This window comes from Homo sapiens, chromosome 2 (assembly GCF_000001405.40).
Source record: "Homo sapiens chromosome 2, GRCh38.p14 Primary Assembly".
NCBI lineage: Eukaryota > Metazoa > Chordata > Mammalia > Primates > Hominidae > Homo > Homo sapiens.
Window position 1 is genome coordinate 230,548,066 of NC_000002.12, and position 10,299 is coordinate 230,558,364.

The window sequence follows — 10,299 nt, forward strand, 5'->3', positions numbered from 1 at the left end:
GCAAACCTGCCTCATCTTTTGGTTCCTAAATAAAATGGCTACAAGATGAAAAGCTACACGCCTCCCCCGTATTTTTCCCACAAGGAAATTCCTAGTGAGCTCCAACAACTTTACCCTAAGGTATTTCTGTTAAAATTTCACCATGGCAGGCCAGGCATGGTGGCTCACGCCTGTAATCCGAACACTTTGGGAGGCCAAGGCAGGCGGATCACTTGATGTCAGGAGTTCAAGACCAGCCTGGCCTACATGGTGAAACCCTGTCTCTACTAAACATACAAAAATTAGTCTGGTCGGGCATGGTGGCAGGGGCCTATAGTCCCAGCTACTTGGGAGGCTGAGGCTAGAGAATAGCTTGAACCCAGGAGGGAGAGGTTGCAGTGAGATCGTGCCACTGCACTCCAGCCTGGGTGACAGAGAGAAACTCTGTCTCAAAAAAAAATTTCACCATGGCAATGTAAATTGATAGCTTATCCTTACAGGTGCAGTCACCTCCCTGCCCACCAGACACAAATGCATATCTGATTGTTTCCCTGCCCCATTTTGTCTATGTCATCTTACATTAAAAAAATGCAGATTCACTGAGCCAGAAAAAGGCATGAATTTTTTCCTACCCTATTTTTTCCTACCCTCTCTTACATGAAAACTGTGTACTTCTCAATAGCCCATCCTTTCCCCTTTAAATTTGGAGCCCTCAAAATCATCTTCGGAGAAAGGCATAGACCTCCTGGGCACACGTCCTTAATTTTGACAAGTAAACCTCCTAAAATGATTGAAACTTGTCTTGTCATTTTTCTCGATTGGCAGGTTGTTGGAGTGATAGTGTTAGATTTTAGTTGCAAACATGCTTTGGAAAATCACTTATAATAAGCCAATATCACGCTGGAGGATATCTTTCAACAGCGATAATTAAAATTTTTGAGTGGCTGATTGAAAGATTATCTTTCTAGCCGTAATTAAATAAAGTGAACATTTTGTCTAAAATGGCTCCTTCAAGTTTTTGACTAATAAAAAAGTATAGCTATCTGTGTTCTATAGAACATTGTAGACAGCAGATGGTAGAGATCATTATATACCCAGCCTAGGCAACATGGCAAAAGTCCATCTCTACTAAAAATACAAAGAATTATCTGGGTATGGTGGTGCTTGCCTGTAGTTGCCATTACTTGGCAGTCTGAGGCGGGAGAATCACTTGAGCCCAGGAGGCAGAGGCTGCAGTGAGCTGTGATCACGCCACTGCACTCCAGCTAGGGCAACAGAGTGAGACCTCGTCTTGAAGATTTAAAAAATTTAAAAAAGAAATCATTATATACATTCAATTTATAGGCATAGAGAATGTTTTGCCTCATCTTTTCTCAAGAAGATAAATATATGACTACATATATTCGGTCCATAAAGCCCATCTATTAAGTGAAAACTTCACATTTCTTGTCTCCCTGCATTTTAAAAGTGAAGGTAAAGAAAATGTAGAAAATAGAATCCCAGGTTAAAGTGACCCCATTGCAAGAACAGTATCTCTGGGAATAAACTGACAATCCACAGCTGGCAGTCTGAGGTGGGAGAGTCACTATGTTCCAGTCACTATTACCAGAAATTGAGAGCAATTCATCCGCATGGAGCATCTTCACTCAGTCTGGCTCCCCTCTTACACCTTCCTCTTGTTCCTGTTTTCCCTTCCCACTTGTCCTTACATGTTTATTATACATCTGCCTCTGTTTCACCATGAAGACTTTGGAAGCCACGTGTCAAAGAAAGCAGGACTCCCATCAGCCAGAATCCCTAAATGGCTGTGTGACTCAAAGAACCCTGACAACCAGCAACCACCTTATCCTGATAATGTGAGCAAGAAATAATCTCCTTCTTGTGTTTGAGCCAATAAACACTTTGGGACCTATTTCTGACAACAGTTACCCTACTTGACGTACAAAAAAAAAAGCTTGTATTGGAAGAGGATGCCATACAAAAACCTGAAATACAGGCCATTGGCTTCATGATTCAGTAACAGGCAGTGAAGGTAGAGAAAATGTAGAAAATAGAATCCAAAGTTAAAGTGAATCCATATCAGAGGAAACATAGCAAAGGCTGGAAAGATTATGCAGCAGCAAATCAGGAAAGGAAGGGGAAAATGAGGTGAAAATTGCTAGCTGCTCACCAAAACCCAGTTTCCCCTCTTTTCCCGGAACACATAGCTGAACTATCTTTTTAAGGCTTCTTTGCAGTGAGGTAGGACCATTCGCCTCAGTTCTAGCCAAAGAAGTATGCACAAAGGTGATGTGCTTGCTGTATTTCTTTCACAAATTCAACACCAATCCCCAGGTGACCTCAGGAGCCATGGGATGAGAATGCCAAAGCCTCTATCAGCCTAGGTCCTCACCTAGGTCCCCAACTGACTGTGTGTGAAAAAGCCACCCAATATTCTGCCTCCAACATTTCTTTTTTTTGAGACAGGGTCTGGCTCTGCTGCCCAGGCTGGGGTGCAGTGGTGCAATCACAGCTCACTGCAACTTCCACATGCCGGGCTCAAGTGATCCTCTCACCTCAGCTTCCCAAGTAGGTGGGACTACAGGTGCACACCACCATGCCCAGCTAATTTTTGTATTTTTTAAAGAGATGGGATTTCACCATGTTGCCCAGGATGGTCTCGAATTCCTGAATTCAAGCAACTAGACTGCCTTGGCCTCCCAAAGTGCTGGGATTTCATGCATGAGCCATCACACCTGGCCTGTAACCTTCTTAGACTTTTTATATAAGTGAGGCATAAAGTTCTACATGTTTGAGCCACAGTGGGAAGGAGATTATTTGTTAAAGCAGAGAGCTTCCTCTAACTAATTAAAATATGCTATATATTATATACAGAATTTAAGTAGGAAGATAAAATATGGATCATTTATATTTAAACATTTTTCAATTGGGAAAAATAAATAAAATAATTAGAATGAACTCTTTGTAAACCAGTAGTAACATCATGAGTTTATAATTGCTTACATTTTTTCCAAACATGTCCTCCCATAGAAGATATGTTTCAACTATTCATAGAATCTAGAATAGAGGAAATAAAAAGGCAAAAACATATTAAGTAAAAAAGAGCAATACATTTTAAAACAATTTGCACTTTGAAGGGTATTCAGATCATAATGGCATTTTGATTATCATTTTCTGTCTTATCTAGCCATTTCTCTATTTAATAATTGAGTTCTGGGTGTCCAGGATTTTAGTCCTAGCTCATTGTTTAAATCTCAGACTACAAAAAAAATAGCCTTAAACAGTAACATGCCATGATTTCCTCATTTATAAAACAGAGAGATTGCTGGGTACAGTGGTTCACACCTAATCCCAGCATTTTGGGAGGCTGAGGCAGGAGGTTTGCTTGAGCCCAGGAGTTCAAGACTATCCTGGGCAACATAGTGAGACCCACATGTCTATTAAAAAAAAAATGTAGGCCGGGCGAGGTGGCTCACGCCTGTAATCCCAGCACTTTGGGAGGCTGAGGCGGGCAGATCACGAGGTCAGGAGATGAAGACCATCCTGGCTAACACGGTGAAACCCCGTCTCTACTAAAAATACAAAAAATTATCCTGGTGTGGTGGCAGTCTCCTGTAGTCCCAGCTATTCGGGAGGCTGAGGCAGGAGAATGGTATAAACCTGGGAGGCACAGCTTGCAGTGAGCCGAGATCATGCCACTGCACTCCAGCCTGGGCGACACAGCAAGACTCCATCTCAAAAAAAAAAGAAAATTTAAAAATTAGCCAGGCATGGTGGTGTGTACCTACAGTCCCAGCTACTCAGGAGACTGAGGTGGGAGGATAGCTTGAGCCTGGGAGGTCAAGTCTGCAGTGAGCTGTGATCATGCCACTCTACTCCAGCCTGGGCGACAGAGCGAGACTCCGTCTCAAAAAAAAAAAAAAAAAAGGAAAGAGAGACAGAAAGAAAGAAAGAAAGAAAGGAAGAAAGAAGGAGAGAGAGAAAGAGAGAGAAAGAAAGAAAGAAAGAAAGAAAGAAAGAGAGAAAGAAAGAAAGAAAGAAAAGACGAGACAGAACAAAAATTTTCCTGCTTAATTCTTCTGAATGTATTTTTAAAATACCTTAATCATTTGCAAAATTACTCTGTAAAATTATTACATTAGCCCATGACATGCTGGAGGAAATTTTTCAAAGCTACTGTTTGGGTTAGAAATAGTTTAATATGTAGCTTTTCTTTCTGGCACTAATTAGATAATGCAGCAATTGCCTTTTTTTTTTTTTTTTTTTTTTTTTTTGAGACAGGGTCACACTCTGTTGCCCAGGCTGAAATGCAATGATGCAATCATGACTCACTGCAGCTTTGACCTCCCAGGCTCAAGCGATTCTCCCACCTCAGCCTCCCTAGTAGCTGGAACTATAGGCATGTGCCACCACACCCAGCTAAATTTTGGTTTTTGTTGTTGTAGAGACGGAGTCTTCCTATATTGCCTAGACTGGTCCTGAATTCCTGGGCTGAAGCAATCCTGTTGCCTCTGCCTCCCAAAGTGTTAGGATTATAGGCATGAGCCACTGTGCCCGGGCCCAGTTGTCTTTTGAGGCTTTTTCCACATTTGTGCCCAAAGGACATTATCAACCAGTAGAATTCTTAGCTTTCTATGCTCTATAAAAGATAAGGTATAAACAGATGTAGAAATCACACCATAAAGTCAAAACTTCAGTATTAAGAGGCATGACAATGTGTCATTTATACAACAGCACATCAAAAAGTTTATCTACCACGATCAAGTAGGCTTCATCCCCAGGATGCAAGGCTGGTTCAACATATGCAAATCAATAAGCATAATTCATCACATAAACAAATCTAAAGACAAAAACAACATGATTATCTCAATAGACACAGAAAAGGCCCTCAATAAAATTCGACAACCCTTCATGTTTAAAACTCTCAAAAAACGAAGTATTGAAGGAATATATCTCAAAATAATAAGAGCTATTTATGACAAATCCACAGCCAGTATCATATTGAATGGGCAAAAGCTAGAAGTATTCCCTTTGAAGACTGGCACAAGACAAAGATGCCCTCTCTCACTACTCCTATTCAACATAGTATTGGAAGTTCTAGCCAGGGCAATCAGGCAAGAGAAAGAAATAAAGGGTATTCAAATGAAGACAGGAAGTCAAATTGTCTTTGTTTGCAGATGACATAATCCTATGTCTAGAAAACCCCATCATCTCAGCCCAAAAGCTTCTTAAGCTGATAAGCAACTTCAGCAAAGTCTCAGGATCCAAAATCAAAGTGCAAAAGTCACAAGCATTCCTATACACCAACAACAGGCAAGCAGAGAGCCAAATCATGAATGAACTTCCATTCACAATTACTACAAAAAGAATAAAATACATAGGAATTCAGCTAACAAGGCAAGTGAAGGACCTCTTCAAGGAGAACTGCAAACCACTGCTCAAGGAAATCAGAGAGGACACAAACAAATGGAAAAACACTTCATGCTCATGGATAGGAAGAATCAATATTGTGAAAATGGCCATACTGCCCAACGTAATTTATAGATTCAACACTATCCCAACTAAACTACTGTGGACATTCTTCACAAAATTAGCAGAAAGTATTTTAAAATTCATATGGAACAAAAAAAAAGAGCTCATAGAGCCAAAACAATCCTAAGCAAAAAGAAAAATCCTGGAGGCCTCACACTACCAAACTTCAAACTATACTACAAGGCTACAGTAACCAAAACAGCATGGTACTGGCACAAAAACAGACACATAGACCAACGGATCAGAAGAGAGAACTCAGGATTAAGGCCTCACATCTACAACCATCTGATCTTCAACAAACCTGACAAAAACAAGCAATGGGGTAAGGATTTCCTATTTAATACATTGTGCTGGGAGAACTGGCTAGCCATATGCAGATAATTGAAACTGGATCCCTTCCTTACGCCTTACAAAAATTAACTCAAGATAGATTAAAGATTTAAATGTAAAACTCAAAACTATAAAAACCCTAGAAGAAAATGTAGGCAATACCACTCAGGACATAGGCACAGGCAAAGATTTCATGACAAAATCACCATAAGCAATTGCAACAAAAGCAAAAACTGACATTTTCACTATTAAACTAAAGAGCTTCTGCACACAAAAGAAACTATCACCGGAGCCAACAGGCAACCTAAAGAGTGGGAGAAAATTTTTGCAATCTATCCATCTGACAAAGCTCTAATGTCCAGAATCTACAAGGAATGTAAACAAATTTACAAAAAAAAATCAACTCCATTAAAAAGTGGCCAAAGGATATGAACGGACACTTCTCAAAAGACATTCAGGTGGCCAAAAAACATATTAAAAAAGCTCAGCATCACCAGGTGCAGTAGCTAACGCCTGTAATCCCAGCACTTTGGGAGGCCAAGGTGGGCGAATCACGAGGTCAGGATATGGAGACCATTCTGGCTAACATGGTGAAACCCCATCTGTACTTAAAAAAAAAAAAAAAAAAAAAACAGAAAAAAATTAGCCAGGCATGGTGGCAGGCACCTGTAGTCCCAGCTACTCAGGAGGCTGAGGCAGGAGAATGGCATGAACCCAGGAGGCGGAACTTGCAGTAAGCCGAGATCACACTACTGCACTCCAGCCTGGGCGACAGAGCAAGACTCTGTCAAACAAACAAACAAACAAACAAAAAAGCTCAACATCACTGATTATAAGAGAAATGTAAATCAAAACCACAGTGAGATACCATCTCATGCCAGTCAGAATGGCAATTATTAAAAAGTCAACGAACAGCAGATGCTGGCAAGGTTGCAGAGAAATAGGAACGCTTTTACATGGTTGGTGGAAATGTAAATTAGTTCAACCACTGTGGAAGATGGTGTGGTGATTCCTCAAAGATCTAGAACCAGAAATACCATTTGACCCAGCAATCCAGTTACTGGGTATATACCCAAAGGAATATAAATCATTCTATTACAAAGATACATGCACATGTATTTTCATTACAGCACTATTCACAGTAGCAAAGACATGGAATCAACTCAAATGCCCATCAATGAAAGACTGGACAAAGAAAATGTGGTATGTATACACCATGGAATACTATGCAGCCATAAAAAAGAATGAGATCATGTCCTTCACAGGAACAGGCATGGAGCTGGAAGCAAACTAATGGAGGAACAGAAAACCGAACACCGCATGTTCTCACTTGTAAGTGGGAGCTGAGCAATGAGATCACATGGATACAGGGAGGGGAACAACACACACTGGGACCTGTTGGGGGTGGGGTGAGGGGAAGGAGAGCATTAGGAAAAATACCCAATGCATGCGGGGCTTAATACCTAGGATATGGGTTGATAGGTGCAGCAAACCACCATGGCATACATTTACCTATGTAACAAACCTGCACATCCTGCACATGTACCCAGAACTTAAAATGAAAATGAAAAAGCCTCATAATTTTGCTAGCATATTTAAAATAAAATATCAACATATGAATACACAGACTCAAAGCTTCCATTTGTTAAACATGGACTTTATAATTATGCAGAGAATGGATCCAGTGAGTTGCTTGGATCCCTTTCATGTGGATGCACTGAGAAAGTTCAGACTCCTAATTACAATCTTTTTCTTCTTTACCTGGCCAAATTCTTGGTGAGGAATTTTGTTTCTTGACCCTATTCTTTATTATTATTTCCTAAAGGATAACAACTGCTGATCATAGGAGAAAGTAATAGAATTCTTTAGGGGTTTTGGTGATAACCAACTCAGAAGAAAATGCCATATTACAAAAAAGAAGAAAAAAAGAAACCTAGAAAAGACCTCGAAAAGTTCCAGGCTAGAATATACCCACCCACAAGCTAAATTAGTCTGCTTTTTGATTCATCTGAGGGATGATCAGAAAGGTTGGGAAAAACTTACCCACAATAGGCAACTTGCATTGTCTTGTAAAACTCTTCTTACACTTTGCTCCCTTCTGATATCCTACCCTTTCAAATCATTCTACACATTTCCTCTTCCTCTGCTCTTTTCCTCATATATGGAAGCCTTGGAAACTATGTGTTAAAGGCACTACAGCCTCCACCAACCACAGTCCTCAAACAGGTGAAATAGAGCTTTGCCCATCCATCCCATCCTCTATCAACATGGAACCCCCTTGTTTACAAGAATGTAAAACAAGCCTCAATTTTGCTTGAGCTGTTACATAGTTTTTGGTCCATTTAACAGCTATTATCCTATAACATTGAATATAGAAGTCATAATGAAAACTGGCACTGGTGATGAGAATGCTGTGGCCCATGCTTGTAATTCCAGCTGAGCCAGGAGGATTGCTTGAGTCCAGGAGTTCGAGGCTGCAGTGAGCTAGGATGGCGCCACTGTACTCCAACCTGGGTGACAGAGCAAAACCCTGTCTCTAAATAAATAAATAAATAAATAAATAGAAAGAAACTAGTACTGGAAGTGAGGTGTTGCCATAATAAAAATGGCTTAGTGATCAGGAATTTTATATCAGAGCATGGAAAATGGTTTCCTTTATTAGGCAATGGCAAAACATGACAGATTTCTTGCAAGATATATCACAAAAGGTAAACATTTTTTTAATGCCTCTAAGTCCTGTAGCTCTAGGAAAAGGAATTGGAAAACACTAACAATAGAGTCTGTTGGTTACCACTCACTGGGTTTGAAGGCTTATTACAGTTAAGAGATCAGCTCCAGCAATAATTGATTCATTTGAGAACAAAAGTGAATGGGACTCAAGAGAGTACAGAAAAGTGGGTTCTCGTAGGGTTGGAGAAGCCAAAAGAACTCCGAAGAGTAAGAGATGAGACTGAAAGAGGCTTTGAGCAACAAAAAGCTAGTTAGGGTTTCTCGATTAAACAGAGGAATTGAGCACTGAGGTAAATTTCAAAGTAAGCAAAGCCTTGACACCTAACCACCTGGCATCAGATAGCCTCAAGGGAGTACCATTCAACTAAGAGAGAAATTTGGTTTGGGAGGGAAAAGTTAAGAAATAAATCAGGCTTATGGATTAAGTTTAGAACAGAACTCTAGATGTTGTTATAAATATGTGGAATTCATGGACAATAAATCAATGAAAAGCCAACCAAGCTTTAATAAAATCACTGAAAGAACCATAAACCTGAACATAAAGTACTTTTCAAGTACTGTTCAAGCCTTAATAAAACCCTTAGTCATCCAAACTTAAACATGCAGAAAAAAGCTGTGAATACATACAGTGCTATAGAAGGGTGTGTCCCCCAGTGGATACTTCAGAGGTGGCCAAGAAGGAAATTGAAAGAGAAAATGAAAAAAAAAAAAAAATAGAGGGCACGGTCAGGAGAATTATTTCAAAAGAGCAGAATCAAAGTCAAGAAATTTCCAAATTCCTCCACTGCTAGAGGAGAGGGACCCCTTTAATCACAGCCTGGTAGATTTAGATAATAGACCATTGGCCACTGTTTGTCTCCCATTTTTCCACTTCCTAGATAGTAGTTGTATTGGGATTACTCTGTCACTCATCAAACATTGTATATTGGAAGTACAGTAAGGGAAGACAAACTTATTAAAAGGTCACCAAAACATCAAGAACATCATCCAGACCTGATAGGGAGAACTGTACTTCACACAAAGTAAGTGGATATTGGCCTGTGTGCAGTAATTATATGGGAGTTTGTGTTATCTCCTGTAAGGGAGGGGCAGGAAGAAAGAGGGTAAGGGGTTCTATATGTGGGAAGATCGGAAGAAGGGTGATACTTGAGGACAAGATAGAAAGTGTATAGGAGAGACAGCTAGCTGCTTACCCAAACTGTATTTTCCTCTTCTTCCAGGGCACACAGTTAAACTATATTTTCCAGGAATTCCTGCAGGTATGAGTGGCCTATGACCGAGTTCTAGATAGAGGAACATCTGAGGAAGACATGTGCCTAGTTCCAAGGCTGACCCATAAAAGCTTCTTACACGTACTGCCCCACAATCTTTCCTCTGCCATGAACTGGATGGCAGTCTCCAAGTAAGGACACCCTTGGAAGCCATGAGTGTCAAAACCTCCATCAGTCTGAGACCATGCATAATTACATGGAAGAGAGCCCCCAACAACCCAACAACCCTCCCATCTCACCAACTTGTAACTCATTAGACTGTTTTAAAAGAAATAAACTTAAATTTTGTTTGAGGATGTTATATATATTGGGGTCTATTTGTTAGAGCAGATAGCCTAATTTAACTACTACAAAGCAAGCTAACTACTACTATTACATGAATCTTCCAAAATCAAAAGGAATTATTTTCTATTTGTAACATATGCAGCAAACAATTAGAATAATTCTTTTGTAAAGA

At 40.1% G+C, this 10,299-nt stretch overlaps 1 annotated feature.

The window, feature by feature from the left end:
• Positions 4,156-4,356: a silencer, noted in NCBI's record as "peak4076 fragment used in MPRA reporter construct". NCBI's record gives its function as "represses an SCP1 promoter by STARR-seq MPRAs in K562 erythroleukemia cells {active_cell/tissue: K562}" and the evidence as "EXISTENCE:reporter gene assay evidence [ECO:0000049][PMID:32103011]".